The 16,829-nt window shown below is 44.4% G+C and overlaps 1 protein-coding gene across 35 annotated transcripts in view; it reads right to left on the reverse strand.

Moving 5' to 3' along the window:
- PLEKHA7 (pleckstrin homology domain containing A7) overlaps positions 1-16,829 on the reverse strand; it is a 237,118-nt gene that overhangs the window by 97,232 nt on the left and 123,057 nt on the right. Inside the window, exon 1 of one of the 35 annotated variants that reach the window (XM_024448367.2) lies at positions 6,756-8,325. The exons of 32 other annotated variants lie outside the window; for them this stretch is intronic. Coding sequence is in view for 1 of the 3 variants with exons in the window: in XM_024448362.2 (XP_024304130.1) it covers positions 3,895-3,941 (47 nt within the window). In the remaining 2 variants the exon portion in view is untranslated. Of the gene's footprint in view, positions 1-3,894; positions 4,126-6,730; positions 8,326-16,829 lie in introns of those variants that run through there. 2 more of the 35 variants (XM_024448366.2, XM_024448362.2) reach the window with 2 other exon arrangements.

Genomic DNA, 16,829 nt, shown 5'->3' on the forward strand with positions numbered 1-16,829 from the left:
ATAAGACTGGAACATGACTCCAGGTCTTCTATTTCTAAATTATATGTTCTCTGTATGATAACCTGCTTTCCCTTTCTCTTAGGAGTCTGAATTGGGGCAGCTTCCTGGCCATGATGAGAAAGCCCTAAAGACACAAGGCATCAGAAGCACAGCCCAGCTGCCACTCCCTCTCATTCTTTATCTCCCCCTTTCCTCTTTTGTCCAGGGCCAAAGTTCTGAGTGACAGCACTTGTGTGGCACTCAGTAGTCCCCAAACAGCCTTCAGTTCTACCATAAGATCAGCTGATGGATCTCTGGCAGATGAGGTTAAAGAGCAAATCTTCTATGTGCCTGGGGCAGATCCAGCAGCCAGTGACCACCACTTCATATACACTGCACAATCTTAATAGCAACTCCTGGGCTCCCCGTCCCAACCTGTACCAGCTTAAATAAACCCAGGGTTCTAAGTAAATGAATCTTGAGCTGCAGAGTTTAGGCACTAAGATGAATTTTACATTCTAACATTAGAAGAAAGGTAATTTTTAAAAAGCCAACACAAAATAGCTGTCATTTGATCAGACCTAGAGACAGTTCTTCAAACTTTTTTCCCTAATATGGATGCTGCCTTCTTTGCCAAAAGAGTTGTCAGTCACAGCATCATCACCACCACCAACTACTGCAATTTACAAGGAGCTTTAACTAAGCAGCTTTAACTATGCTTACATTCATCATCTTATTTGCCCCTCCAAACTACCCAATGATGTAAGCAGGGCAGATATTTTTATCCCCATGTTAAACATAAGGAAACTGAGGTTCCAGGTTATGGGATGTTACTAGAATACTAAATTTTTTTTTTTTTTCAAAAAGACTCATACATTGAGAAAAGAGATGAACCAGAGTAATGGCTTCTGAATACTGAAGTCTTAAAAATTTCTTTCCTTTTTTTTTCTTTTGTTTGAGACAAGGTCTCACTTTGTCACCCAGGCTGGAGTGCAGTGGAACGATCTCAGCTCACAGTAGCTTCGACCTCCTGGGTTCAAGCAACATTCCTGCCTCAGTCCTCCAACTAGCTGGGACTTACAGGTGCACACCACCATGCCCGGCTAATTTTTTTTTTAGTAGAGATGGGGTTTCACCATGTTGCCCAGACTGGTCTCCATCTCCTGAGCTCAAGCAATCTACCCCCTTGGGCCCCCAAAGTGCTAAGATTACAGGTGTGAGCCACCGTGCTCGGCCTAAATTTCATCATTTTTGATCAAACACATTCAGCTTGCTAATGGCAGAGCTTCTGGTTCAGCACTCTGAGCAAAGGGATGCCAGTGAGGTCCCTGGGCGATTCCATTCAATATTCACAAATACCTAAAAGGGCAGGTTAGGTATCACCACACCAGGCTCCAAATGAAGAAAGTAAGGTCCCTAAAGAACGGTGATTTACCTATAACCTCAGTCAGCTCCTGTGTTCCCCGCACACCACCACCCTTTTGATCTCTTTCCACTACTCCAGGCTCATCCTTGCCAAACAAAGGCTGCCTATTAAACGCTGGCTCCCCAAACCCATTTGGAGATTGCAAAGTCCTCTGGCTTTACTCGCTGTCCCTGGCTCCCCCGCCACAAAAGCCCTCAGTCAGCTCCATTTCCTGATTCTAACACCCATGAAGAGTCTCATGTCCTATCACTGTGTCTCAAGAAGTATTTAGCAGGCACAGACACATCCCCTGAAATACCTGTTCTTAGACCTGAATTGCTACCTTGCTCTATGGTAGTATAGAGATGGCCCGGCTGAGAGCCAAGTGGCTGGTTTCAGGGGAGAACAAAAACTCTCTCTGTTCCACACAAGGGCTTCTGTTTCTCTTCAGGCTACTGAGAAAGTAATTTGGCAAATGAGGTAAACACAAGCTAGCCTCCATTTTCAAATCCCGCTCTTCCTCCCAGAAGCAGCCCCTTGAAGTTGAATGGCAGCCAGTCTCACTTAGGAAAGGACCAGGGAACATGGACAGAAGATGGCAGGGAAGGATGATTCCCGTGAAAGCAGGCTGTGGGTAACCATCCACATAAATAAGCATGTCTTCACAAGCCCTGGGCCAGGAAGTACTTGGGTTAAGCCCTAAAGAAGTCTGACAGCAAATACAAAAGACTTGATAAGAGAATAAAGTGAGGACCATAGAGAACTGGAGACTGATTTAAGTTCAATGTAAGACAGTCAACCTACAATGACAGACAAGGCTAGTCAAAATGTAAATGCATCCTATGGTTTCTTGCAGCATTTTTCCATATTAATTTTCTATTCGTATGTATTTTGATTGTAATATGAGCAGTGACTCCTGTTGGTTAAACATAAAGGTTCCAATTACTTGGCACAGCAATTTTTTTTGGCATGGCAAGAAGTTCTGGCATTATGTGAGTGATGCTTAACAGAACAGTGGGGGTCGGAGCACCCTGATAAATCTGGTTTTCTGACAGTAGTGGTGTTGGTATGCTGAGAGTGTGACAAATCTGCTCCGTCAGCACTAGCTCTTATCTGGCTATAAAGAGGAGAAGAAACAGCTTAAAATGTAAGAAAAGTATCTGGCCTAAAAGTCTGAGGAGGGACTCTATTAAAGATCTTCTCATTGGTATGCTCAGCAGTATCTGCCCCTCTGGACCTTCTGGTTCCTCAATGTGGCTCCCAGAACACTGTAAAAGCGTTACCCTGCAGGCCTGCAGCCACATTCAGCACTGCCCCCAGGCTTGTAAAGCCACTTACTATCTTTGTTCTAAATACCAGTGTCTGGAGAAAACCAAGGATTCTGGATAACCTAATAATGTTCCTAGTTAGGTCTCAAAACTGGAAATTGAAACTCTGAGAATACAAGAAATTGCCTCTTCTTCACCTTCAGCTCCAATTTGGGCCCCACAATAAAGAGGTAGCAATCAAGATTTGAAACAGCATCTCTATGTTTCCTCAATTGTTTTTTAAGCTCCTTGTGACTAATTTTACTTAACATTTTCACAAAATTGCTCACTTAATGCAAAGCATCATCATTAATGTGGCATTTCTAAGGGGATTGAGAATCTACTGAAATGGTCTTTCAAGCTTGCACTATTTTGACAATATCAAGATTTGCAACAGCTCACTGCACATAGGCATTCCTGTGACAGGCCCTTCTTCCAGAATCAGGCCTTGATGAGCCAATCCTCTCTTTAAGTAGAAGATATCAACATAACACTAATCAGCTTCCTTCAACATCTGCCCTAAGCAACAAGTCAGCCCAGAGCCCTAGGGTCAGAAGATCTGGGTTCAAACCAGATAAGCCACCTCACCTCTCTGAGGCTCCATTCTTCCATTTGCAAATAGGGGATAAAAATGTCCCTCCAAAAGGTTGTTGTGATGATAAAATGAAGGAACATACATGAAAGAACCTTGCCAAATGTCTGGCATACAGAAGGTACTCAATTAATGTTTGTTGAACCTAACTGTACCTTGACTATAGCAATGACTAACAGGCATCTACATTTTAACAGGGCAAGAATAGAATGAGCCTCCCTTCCCCGCAAACTCAATACTCCTCCAGGCTTCCCTATTTCCATTAACATCACTATGACCTTGGAATCATCCTTTACTCCTTTCTTTAACCTCCATGTACAATATGTGAGGCACACAGAACCAAGTCCTATTGCCTCTATCTACGAAATATACGTTGAATTCATCCACACTCCTCTCCATCTGTACAGCTAGCACCCTACTCATCTCTTAACTAGATACTGCAACAGCCTCCTACCGGCTCTTTCTGCTTCTACCTTGGCCTCTGTTGCACCCATTCTCCTCACTGGATGCCTCCTGGATCTTTTAAAATATAAGCTAGACCATGTCACCCTCCTCCATTAAACTCTACGATAGCTCTACTTTACACACAGAGTAAAAAATAAGCTCCTTACCTTAGCTTACAAAATGCTAAGATGCCTTGACTCCTGCCTGGTTCCATCTTCGTCTAGTACCATTCTTCCCCTTGTCCATGCTGGCCCAGCCACACTGGCCTTTTTGTTCCTTGAACACCAAGCTCTTTCCTACTTAACAGTCTTAGTACTAGCTGTCCTTGCAGCCTGGATGCTCTTTCCTCCGGATATTTGAGATGGAGTCTCACTCTTTCACCCAGGCTGGAGTGCAGTGGCACAATCGCAGCTCACTGCAACTTCCGCCTCCCAGGTTCAAGGCGATTCTCCCTCTTCCACTTCACAAAGAGCTGGGATTACAGGCATGCACCACCACGCCCAGCTAATTTTGCCTCTAAATGAACTAGCTAGCCCTACAGAAATCTGGACTCAAGTAACAGAGACAAGAACCTAATGGTCATCAGCCATCAGAAGGCAGTTGGCTTCTATTCTTACTGCCAGTGCAAGGATGAGACACCAACATGCCAAGAACACTTCATCCTTGGCTCTCCTGAACTGTGTTACAATATAATTTGGAGAAATTAGCCCTCCCCTACAACTTCCTCAACTCCCCTGTAAAGGAGGGTTAATACACCCCACTGAGAAAATCAAAGAAAGGAATGCAAACACCTGATAGGAAATTACTGCGTGATTAAAAACACACAGAAGGATAATATAAACATCACCTGTATCTCCTTTGCGTGAACTGGGAGAGTGTTTTGGCATGAAACCTACAATTTGGTGACTGATTATATCCTCGCTAGTATTGCTCTCTGCTTATTTCATGTGTGTTTGTTCTCCTCCCTGTCCCCTCCCTTCAAGTAAGATCCAAGGGTTGGGAGGAGTCATTCCTTACTCCTTACTTATCTCCTACAGCAAAGAAGAATATTCATGGAGTAGGCACTTGAACCCCTTTACTTCAAAACAGCCTGAGCACAGACACATCACCTTCAGGGAGAGGCTGTGCAGAACCGATGTCATTTTCTGATTTCAGCAGCACCATGCATCACAGAGCCCTCAAAGATACGGGGAGGCAGAAGGCCACAGGCTCTGAAGACTCCACCAGCCCTGGAGAGCATAGAGCAGGGCAACTCTAGACCTTCCCCATTCCCATACCGTCCACATCTGGCACACACTCCATACCAATGTGGGCAGCGACATGGAAACCCTGTCCAACTCCAGACCCCCCACCTGAGGGGCAGTTAGTAACCGTGTTCAGTGTCCAAATGTGCCAAAGGGAACAGAGCCTGGCACAGGCAGAGCTGGGCATGAGGGAGTCACAAAATTAACTGAGCAAACTTAAAGCCCTCACAACTTGCAAAGAGGGAAGTCCGTCTTTTCCAAGCTCTAGATTTAACAGTCTTCTGGCATGATTTGCAAACCTCTACATTTCATTAGGTTCTCTTAAGTTCTCCAGAGTTCTGCAGATCCACTCAATGGCCAATTCATTTTGCAAAGTACTCTTCTGACTGAGTCACCAACACCGCAAGACTGTCTGGCCCCTGAGTTCCCACATGGAGCCCCATGACTTGGGGTTGCTACTTGGTGAATAGAAAGTTTTAATTTTGATTTCACAGGATCCCAGCAGCCATGAGAACATTAAAGCCAAGATTCTGATAGAATGAGCAAATCAAACTCAGAGAGCCCTTTCCTAATTTTCTTTTTTAAGGAAGTTGGCAGAGGGGCAATGTGACAGGAGCTGAGTACCAGCTTTGTCACTACCAGCTAGCTCTACAGCCCAGGCAACTACTCAACCTCCCTGGGCCTCAGTTTCCTCATCTGTAAAATGGGGGGTGCAGGTAGGTTCTCCATCTAGAAAGGCCACACAGGCCTGCAGGAAGCCCAGGCAGATCAGAGCCACACAAACTGGAATTCAAATCCCAGCTCTGCCACACACTGGTAGTGCATGACCTTGAGCGAGTTAGTGGCTTTTCTGAGTTTATCTGTAAAGAAAAGATTAATTCCGACTCTGCATTGTTGTTATAAAGAACACTGATAACATCCCAGCCCACAGTAGACACTTCAACCTTCAGTGCCTGCTATATTTATCTTCTGCTAACTCTAAAACTGCACTCCAATAGAGTTGTTTTGCCTTTTTCCACATTGCAGACTCCAGCATGTTCAGCCTGCTCTAGGACAGAGGCTCAAGAACACGCTTTCTTTTCTTCCCTTTGAGTTAAGGCACAGCACCCAGCCTCCTGTTTAAATTTCTATTTAAAGAACTCACCTGGCAGGCAAAGTGGTTTAAGATCAAGAGGCACCTTCCACCAGCCACACTTCCATCCCCGACAGGTTCAGAAACTGCGGCCCGAGAAAAGCCGCATTCTATAGAAGTTTTCAAACCTGTCCTGTGAAACATTTTTAATCTTAGAACACCCAGTTTTATGCTTCCATTTAGTACACTTAAATAAGTCAGTTTCCCCAACTGTAAAATGAGAAGGCTGGAGCAGGAGATGTTTCCAGGATGTTCCCTCCAGCTGTAGCATTTTAAGATGCTGCGGTTCATCTCAGACTGTCATCCACAGAGCTACAGACTGAAATGTAACAACACTACACACAACTGCAAACACAGAGACAGAGGCAGACCAGTTGTCCTCCCCAACCTCACTTGCCAACAAAATACTCTGTAATAACATCAGGGAGGTGTAGTTAATGATACTTATGTCTTATTTATGCCCAATTACATTGGATGGTGGTTGTTTTTATTTAACTGTAGGTGCTCCCAACCATCGAAAACTCCCTTTCTCTCAGTCATTACTTGACTTTCATGAATCAGAATATACCACAGCAAACTGAATCCCTATGAAACCAGTACAGGACTAACCTGCTTTCTTGTTCTTACCGGAAAAGGCAGGGGACACACTCACCCTCCCTTTGGGCTCCACGTTCGGATAGTGTCTTCCCCAGCTGCACCACCTTATTAAATCTTAGGTTCAGGTCAGACAGGGAGGGAGACTCCCAGCCTGCCTGCTGTCTCTCAATTTCGGTTCTTGAGCAGCTGCCTCCCAAGGTGTTACAAATCCAGCAGCCACTTGTTCCTGCTCATTCATTCTCGTTCCTCTCCACCCCCCACACAAAATCTGGCAACCAGGCAGGAACACAGTTCCAGCTCTGAGTCACTGCCCCACTGTGGCCAAGGGGAGCAGTGGCTAGAGGTAATCAACCAGGCAAGCACTTCATGTCTCTAGAATCCAATTCTTCCGTTCTTTGAGACCGTGGGGTTGGCTGCCCCTCTAGAACCAGGACATAAAGAAACACCCCTATCTACAGCTCTGGAGTCAGAACAAATTGCTCATTCAGGTTTGCCCTACCATGCTGAGCTGAAATCAGCCCCAAAACAGAGCCTATCTTTGGTGAAGAAACAATGGCTCCTTATCAATATTTCATACCAGTCAGGGCAGGGAAAGGTTTGAGTGGTTACAGGTCAGCAAACCCACTCCCCCTGGTAACAATGATTCTTTCCTCAATGCTTGGGATGGCTAAGGTTCTCTCAGCACCGATTTAACCATGTGGCACTCACTCCCAGAACAGGTCTGAAAACGAGAAGGGCAGAGGGGTTAAAAAGAGAAACCAGGCACCAAAGTGAAAGATCAACACTGTGGCTCTTTTCATTGCAAGCTACGTAGTTCTACAAGTCACAGTGCAGGTGACACTTGAATATGAGCTCCATGGGGCAGAGACTAGTGTTTTCACAGCTATGTTCCAGGGCTTAGCATAGTGCCTGGCACATAGTAGGTATTCCACAAATATTTGAATGAAAAAAATACAAGGGGTTTTGTCCTGAGTCCACTTAGGATGACTGTATTACTAAAACTCGTATCCATCTTTTCCCTTTTAGAAACCTCCATATCCTTCATAACTCCTAATACTACCTGTAGTGAATGTTCCATAAATCTTTAAATGTGGAGATGATTTACTGTTAAACCAAAGAAGCTCAAGCTTTAGGGCCCCTCACTTTCACAAGCCTCCTCCAGGCCCCAGGAAGAGCCCTACCAATGTGTTTACATGCTTTCTGCAATTTTATGTATTTTTAAAGAAAGCTCCCCAAACTATCATATTAAACACCAAGCCCTACAAAATACCGAATTGCCATAGCAGAATGAATGAATGACTCACAAGCCATGCTGGCATATTATCCTAACAAGGGCATTTGCTTGGACAGAACTGTTTTGGTCACAGAAGAGGTATACCCTAGCCTACAGACACAGCCTAATTAATCACAAGTCCATCACTAAAAAGACTGGATTAGGTTTAAGAGCACAAACCCCACACATTCAACACTTATTAAAGCCCAACTATTTGCTTAGCCCTCTGAGTGCTTTGGAGAAAAATAATGATTAGATCATAATCACCCCCACAGAATAGTAGCTTATAATCCAATAGAATAGACTGATATGGTCATAAGTACATATAAATATATATTTCATATGTATATACACATATTCACACACACACATACACACACACACACAGAGTTCAGAGTGGGTGTCGTCATAGAAAAGCAAAGCAGACCTACTTGCTATGTATCAACCTAAAAGGCATAACACCCTAGAAGGTAAATTATATTATCTTCATTTCACAAAAGAGGAAACTGAGGCCCAAAGGAGTCAAGGGCCGTTCTAAGATCATATAACAAGCAAGTGGCAAGGTCAAAATCCAAGTCCAGATCTGCCTAACTCCAAAGTGTGGGCTTGTTTCTAGTGGCTACATGTCAGTCAATGGCTAGTTGCTGTATAGAACCTCCAAAATGTCTTGGGAGATACACTGGCTTTGGAGGTAGAGAAACCACATCGGGCACCAGCAGAAGTTGGCAAGCTTCGAAGACTCACACTCTTAAGAGTGGAGGAACAGGAAATGCGAGGAGCTTATTCATCAGTTATATAGAAATAATCCTTGTTCACCAGGAAACACCCTAGCAGGAATTAGTGACAGCTATCTTGGGAGCCAGCAGGGGCCACATGAGAGGCTGCCACCCTGTGGCTTTGTCTCCAAATTTCCTCATCCTTGTTACCAGTTTAAGCATGCTGGAGCACTGCTCTTGTTCCATTATCTCCTGCCCAAACACCCTCCATGGCTCCTCATGTTAAAGCCTCTTTATCTCTCACTGCTTCCTGATACTCTTGGCTTCTGTCAACTTTAACTGCCCACCAGTCCCCAAGTCATCCTTTCTTTTCTACCTCTGGGCTTTGGCTCCTTCTGTCCTTTTCCCTAAGGATTTCTGCCCAATCTTCAAGGCTCCTTCTCTTCCAAGTAGCCCTTCCTAATCATGCCAGACCACTCTAATTTCCTCCTTCCTCAACATTCTTAGCACTGAAGGCTTACACTCTTCAGTATTAATATATAGCAACACTCCCCAATTGTAACATAGAGGAATTATACTTCCCAACAGCTCTTTTCATTTTACTTTTCAAAAATTATTTAAGTACTGCATGCTACAGAAGGGTATGAACTAAAAAGCAGTTCCTTTTCCTGCCTCCAATTCAGTGTCAATCCCAGGGGCAACTACCTTTATCAGTTTCTTGTATATCCTTTTCGGGTTTTGCACTTACAAAATTTTTATGAACTTAAAATTTTATATATATATCTTTTTAGAAAAAAATTCACAAATAGAATAAAATTGTACATATCATTCTATAACTTGCTTTTTACTTTACATATATATCTTGGACTCCTCCATATCCATACACAAGGATGAACATAAACAGCCCCCTCCACACACAGGTTTCCCTAGGACTCCCACACCACTCCAGTCCTTTGAGAGATGATCCACAGGCCCATCCCATATGCCAACCTATCCCAATATGCATCAGAGACTTCAAATTCATGACCTGAAAACCAATTTGTCCCCCAAACTAGTTTTATTTGAGCTACTCAGATTGTAAAAAATCAGCCAAAGTTTAAAAACAGAAAAATTTCATATAAAATTTCAGCTTAGGCTGGGCACAGTGGCTCATGCCTATAATCCCAACACTTTGGGAGGCCAAGGCAGGCAGATCACCTGAGGTCAGGAGTTTGAGACCAGCCTGGCCAACATGGTGAAACCCTGTTTCTACTAAAAATACAAAAAAATTAGCCAGGTGTGGTGGTGGGCACCTGTAATTCCAGCTACTCAGGAGGCTGAGCCAGGAGAATTGTTTGAACCCAGGAGGCGGAGGTTGCAGTGAGCCGAGATTGCATCACTGCACTCCAGCCTGGACAACAGAGTGAGACTATGTTTAAAAAAAGAAAAGAAAAGAAAAGAAAAAGAAAAAGAAATTGAACTTATGTTAGAAAACAAAAAAAAACAAAAACTGTCGCAACTCTGGGCCCCAAGGAGAGGCAGAATGACCTTTTTATTTCCATGCAGTCCTCAACACTCCCTGCTGCTTCCCAGTGTTGAGGGTGAACACCTAGTGTTATTTATCATCACATCTAACATTTCTAATTTTTTTACAGTAAAGAAATTTCTGTAAATATAAACAGAGTGTTATAAGTACTTCAAAAACAAATTCAAGAGCATAAACACCACAGGCTGCCTTTTTGTTATCTGCTAAGCCTCTGTAGACGTCTGAGTTTGTAACTCCTACTTTGTACCAACATCACTGATTCCAGAGAAGACCTTCTTTTCATGAAGAAGATCTGTTTTAAGAAATAAAGATTTCTTGCTGGCCATGGTAGCTCATGCCTGTAATCCCAATACTTTGGGAGGCCATGGCAGGTGGATCATTTGAGGTCAGGAGTTCAAGACCAGCCTGGCCAACATAGTGAAACCCTGAATACAAAAATTATCCAGGTGTGGTGGCACATGCCTGTAATCTCAGCTACTCAGGAGGCTGAGGAAGGAGACTCACTTGAAATCAGGTGGCAGAGGTTGCAGCGAGCCAAGATCAAGCCACTGCACTCCAGCCTGGGCGACAGAGTGAGACTCCATCTCAAAAAAAAAAAAAAAATTCATATGTAAAAGTAAAAACTAAAGCAAGATGCCAGGTGTGGTGGCTCATGCCTCTAATCCCAGCACTTTGGGAGGCTGAGGTGGGCGGATCACTTGAGGTCAGGAATTTGAGACTAGCCTGGCCAAAACAGTGAAACCTCATCTCTACTAAAAAAAATATATATATATTAGCTGGGAGTGGTGGCGGAGCCTGTAATCCCAGCTGTTCGGGAGACTGAGGCAGGAGGAAAAAAAAGAACTAAAGGAAGATGACAAAAATTGGCCCAGAATTTTCCCTGTCACAAAAATCTTAAAAAAAAAAAATTATTCCAACAGTGGACTCACTCTTAACCTTCTCTAACTGAGCTTTTGAAAGGTAAACCCCGGCCAGGCACAGTGGCTCACATCTGTAATCCCAGCACTTTGGGAGGCCGAGGCGGGCGGATCACTTGAGGTCAGGAGTTCGAGACCAGCCTGGCCAGCATGGTAAAACCCCATCTCTACTAAAAATACAAAAAAAATTAGCCAGGTGTGGTGGCGCATGCCTGTAGTCCCAGCCACCAAGGAGGCTTAGGCAAGAGAATGGCTTGAAACCAGGAGGCAGAGGTTGCAGTGAGCTGAGATCGCGCCACTGCACCACTCCAGCCTGGCAACAGAGCAAGACTCCATCGGAAAAAAAAAAAAAAGAAAGAAAGAAAAGGTAAACCCCAAACCAGCCAACAGACTGTTTCTTCCACAGAGTGAAAAATCCAGAAAGATACCACCACCAATTCTATCCCTATAGAACCCAAAGGAAGAGTGGTACCAGTGGATGCAGCCCTAATGGCCACCCAAAGAGGCCACTGGCAGTAGGCAGAGACTCCTGGAAAAGAAAAGCATCTAACCAGATGCCACCTGGAACAAGATCACAGACCTCTCCCAACTTGAAAAATATAGTCTACTGTGGTGTTTATAGCACAGGCCCTGGAGTTCAGCTCTCCACAGTTGTCCACATCATAGATAAGGAAACTGCTCCAGAAAGCAACTGCAAAAAGTTGCCACCATTTAAAAAAAATAATTGATTCAGCTAGGTATTCAAAAGAAATCTTAAAAGGCACACAATTGCTGGGCGCAGTGGCTCATGCCTGTAATCCCAGCACTTTGGGAGGCTGAGGCAAGTGGATCACCTGAGGTCAGGAGTTCAAGACCAGCCTGGCCAACATGGTGAAACCCCATCTCTACTAAAAATACAAAAATTAGCAGGGCATGGTAGCAGGCACCTGTAATCTCATCTACTCAGGAGGCTGAGGCAGGAGAATTGCTTGAACCCAGGAGGCGGAGGTTGCAGTGAGTGGAGATCACGCCACTGCACTCCAGCCTGGGTGACACAGCGAGACTCTGTCTCAAAAAAAAAAAAAAAAAAAGCCCACAATTACTACATGGTCAGACCAGAATGATATTGATTTACTTGCCCCCAACAATAACATGTGACAACAGTGTATTTCTTCATTCATTTAACAAATATTTGAGAGCCAACTAGATGCCAATCCCCTAGTGTCTTACACATGAAAGGCAAGTAATCAATAAGAGGGATTAGGGGCGTTAAGGGTGTGTAACAGCTTAGTTTCTATATATCCTGCCAAAAGATGAACAAAATAACAGTTTTTCTGATTCAGATTAGCAAATGATAACCTGTCTTAGGAGCTATAACTTCTCAGTTTATCAGTTTATTAAGCCAAGTTGAGAAAATTGAAAAACAACACAAATCAGAAAAACAATTCAGGATATGAAAGAAGAGCAATATTATTTTTAAAAATCAGACAGAACTTCTGGAAATGAAAATTTCATTGAAGGAATCACAAAATACAGTCAAAGAGCTTCAACAATAGGCTAGGCCAAGCAGAAGAAAGAATTTTAGATTGCTTAAGCCCAGGAGTTCAAGACCAGCATGGGCAATATGGCAAAACCCCATCTCTACTAAAAATATAAACCTCAACCTCTCCCTCTCCCTCTCCCTCTCCCCACGGTCTCCCTCTCCCTCTCCCCACGGTCTGCCTCTCCCTCTCCCCACGGTCTGCCTCTCCCTCTCCCCACGGTCTCCCTCTCCCTCTCTTTCCACGGTCTCCCTCCGATGCCGAGTCGAAGCTGGACTGTACTGCCGCCATCTCGGCTCACTGCAACCTCCCTGCCTGATTCTCCTGCCTCAGCCTGCCCAGTGCCTGGGATTGCAGGCGCGCACCACCACGCCTGACTGGCTTTCGTATTTTTTTGGTGGAGACGGGGTTTCGCTGTGTTGGCCGGGCTGGTCTCCAGCTCCTAACCGCGAGTGATCTGCCAGCCTCAGCCTCCCGAAGTGCTGGAATTGCAGACGGAGTCTCGTTCACTCAATGCTCAATGTTGCCCAGGCTGGAGTGCAGTGGCATGATCTTGGCTGGCTACAACCTCCACCTCCCAGCCGCCTGCCTTGGCCTCCCAAAGTGCCGAGATTCCAGCCTCTGCCCAGCCGCCACCCCGTCTGGGAAGTGAGGAGCGTCTCTGCCTGGCCGCCCATCATCTGGGATGTGAGGAGCCCCTCTGCCTGGCTGCCTAGTCTGGGAAGTGAGGAGTGCCTCTTCCCGGCTGCCATCCCGTCTAGGAAGTGAGGAGCTCTCTGCCCGGCCGCCCATCGTCTGAGATGTGGGGAGCACCTCTGCCCCGCCGCCCCGTCTGGGATGTGAGGAGCGCCTCTGCCTGGCCGCCACCCCGTTCTGGGAGGTGAGGAGCGTCTCTGCCCGGCCGCCCCATCTGAGAAGTGAGGAGCCCCTCCGCCTGGCAGCCGCCCCATCTGAGAAGTGAGGAGCCCCTCCACCCGGCAGCCGTCCCCCTCTGGGAAGTGAGGAGCCCCTCTGCCCAGCAGCCGCCCCATCTGGGAAGACAGGAGCGCCTCCACCCAGCAGCCGCCCCGTCCAGGAGGGAGGTGGGGGGCAGTCCCTGCCCGGCTGCCCCTTCTGGGAAGTGAGGAGACCCTCTGCCCGGCCGGCACCCCGTCTGGGAGGTGTACCCAACAGCTCATTGAGAGCGGGCCAATGATGACGATGGCGGTTTTGTTGAGTAGACGGGGGGGAAATGTGGGGAGGGGATGGAGAGGTCGGATTGTTGCTGTGTCTGTGTAGAGGGAAGTAGACATAGGAGACTCCATTTTGTTCTGTACTAAGAAAAATTCTTCTGCCTTGGGATGCTGTTAATCTATAACCTTACCCCCAACCCCGTGCTCTCTGAAACATGTGCTGTGTCCACTCAGGGTTAAATGGATTAAGGGCGGTGCAAGATGTGCTTTGTTAAACAGATGCTTGAAGGCAGCAGCATGCTCCTTAAGAGTCATCACCACTCCCTAATCTCAAGTACCCAGGGACACAAACACTGCGCAAGGCCGCAGGGTCCTCTGCCTAGGAAAACCAGAGACCCTTGTTCACTTGTTTATCTGCTGACCTTCCCTCCACTATTGTCCTATGACCCTGCCAAATCCCCCTCTGCGAGAAACACCCAAGAATGATCAATAAATACTAAAAAAAAATAAAAATTAAAAAAATTAAAAAAAACAAAATTCAAGAGGGGGAAGATAAAAAAAAAAAAGAAACCCTGTCTCTACTAAAAATTAAAAAAAAAAAAAAAAATTAGCCAGTGTGGTGATTGTCAGGCCTCTGAGCTGAAGCTCAGCTATTGTAACCCCTGTGACCTGCACATATACACCCAGATGGCCTGAAGGAGCCAAGAAGTCTGGGGCAGCCGAAAAACCACAAAAGAAGTAAAACAGCCAGTTCCTGCCTTAACTGATTAACCAACATTACAACATTCCACCATTGTGACTTGTCCCTGCCCCACCTTAACCGATCAATCAACTTTGTGACATTCTTCTTCTGGATAATAAGTCTTATGATCTCCCCACCATGTACCTTGTGACCTCCTCCTCTGCTAACAATAGATGACCATCTTTTACCGTAATTTTCCATTACCTACCCAACTCCTATAAAGCAACCCCTTCCCCATCTCCCTTCGCTGACTCCTTTCTCAGACTCAGTCCACCTGCACCCAGGTGAATTAAAAGCTTTATTGCTCAAAAAAAAAAAAAAAAAAAAATATATATATATATATATATATATATGAACTATTAGCTGGCCATGGTGGCACACACCTGTAGTCCCAGCTGCTTGGGAGGCTGAGGTGGAAGGATCACCTGAGCTTGCAAAGTTGAAGCTGCTGTGAGCTGTGATCACGTCACTGCACTCCAGCCTGAGTGACAGGAGTCAACACCACCCCCCACAAAAAAAATAAATAAAATGAAATGAACAAAGCTTCTGAGAAAATTGGCTTTATGTGAAACGTCCAAACCTACAAGTTATAGGTTGATTCAGAGAGAGAAGAAGAAAATATATGGAAAACCTGTTTGAAAGAGTAATTCAAGAAAACTTCCCTGGTCATGTTAGATGCCTAGACACCCAGATACAAGAAGTTCAGAGAACTCCTGGAAGATGCATTACAAGAAGAATCTCACCAAGGCATATAGTCATCAGACTATTCAAAGTCAACATGAAGGAAAAAATTCTAAAAGCTTCAAGAGAGAAGTGTCTAATCCCCTATGAAGGAAATCCCATCAGACTAAAAATGACTTCTCAGCAGAAACCTTACAAACCAGAAAAGTTTGGGGTTCTATTTCCAGTCTTCTTAAAGAAAAAAATGCCAGCCAAGAATTTTGTATCCTGCTAAACTAAGCTTCATAAATGAAGGAGAAATAAAATGTTTCCTAGACAAGCAAACACTAGGGGAATTTTTCACCACTAGACTGCCCCTACAATAAATGCTCAAAGGAATTCTAAACATGGAAACAAAAGGGCAATATTCATCATCATAAAAACACATGAAAGTATAAAACTCACAGGTCTTATAAAGCAATTATACAATCGAGACTGCAAAGCAATGAGGTAACAATATTATAACAAGAACAAACCTCACATAGCAATACTAACCTTAAACATAAATGGAGTAAATACTCCTAAAAGATACAGGCTGGTGGAATGGATTTAAAAACAAGATCCAACCACATGCTGCATACAAAAAACCCACCTCGCTGATAAAGACATTTACAAAGTAAAGGACTGGAAAAAAATATTCCATGCAAACAGAAACCAAAAGCAAGCAAGAGCAGCTATACTTATATCAGATAAAACAGACTTTAAATCAATAACAGTAAATAAAGCAAACAAATTGAGACCTATTTTATCATAGATGGTAACTCTTGCTTTCCAGAAATTAATTCCACAGTATTAAGAGTTGTAGGACTGAAAATGACTCAGAGCTTACCTCATCTAGTCTCTTTGTTGCATAGATGAGGAAACTGAGACCTGGGAAGGTTAAGAAATTGATTGAGGTAACAGTTATTACTGAACCATAAATTAACACTAGGTTCCCGAAAACAAGGATTAAGAAAAAAATCATACATTGTTTTAAAATTAATGTCCTGCCTTAAAATCCATCTTCCAGTGATTAATTTCCACTAACATGAAAAAATATATATATATATGTATTGCTTAAAAATATGTAAAAATATACATTTTTTTTCTTTTTTCAAATGTCTTTAGAGTCAGGATCTTGCTCTGTCACCCAGGCTGGAGTGGGTGGCATGATGGTAGCTTACTGCAGTCTCAAACTCCTGGGCTCAAGTGATCATCCTGCCTCAGCCTCCTGAGTAGCTAGTATAGATGCAGTGCCACCATGCTAGACTATTATTCTCTATTCTATTCTATTCTATTCTTTTTAGAGATGGGGTCTTGCTATGTTTCCCAGGCTGGTCTCAAACTACTGTACTCAGGCAATCCTCCCGCCTTGGCCTCCCAAAGCACTGGAATTATAGGCATGAGCCACCCAGACTCAAAAAATATATTTTAGAGCTTGGAATATCTGTGTGCAGCCAAGAGACCTCATGTGGAAATCCAGTATCAGTGGCCTGGATTTGAGTGGCATATAAAATATACAAAGGGTAGAGAGCCATATGAAGACAGAGGCGGAGATTGGAGTG

Source organism: Homo sapiens, chromosome 11, assembly GCF_000001405.40.
Source record: "Homo sapiens chromosome 11, GRCh38.p14 Primary Assembly".
In the NCBI taxonomy this organism is placed as follows: domain Eukaryota; kingdom Metazoa; phylum Chordata; class Mammalia; order Primates; family Hominidae; genus Homo; species Homo sapiens.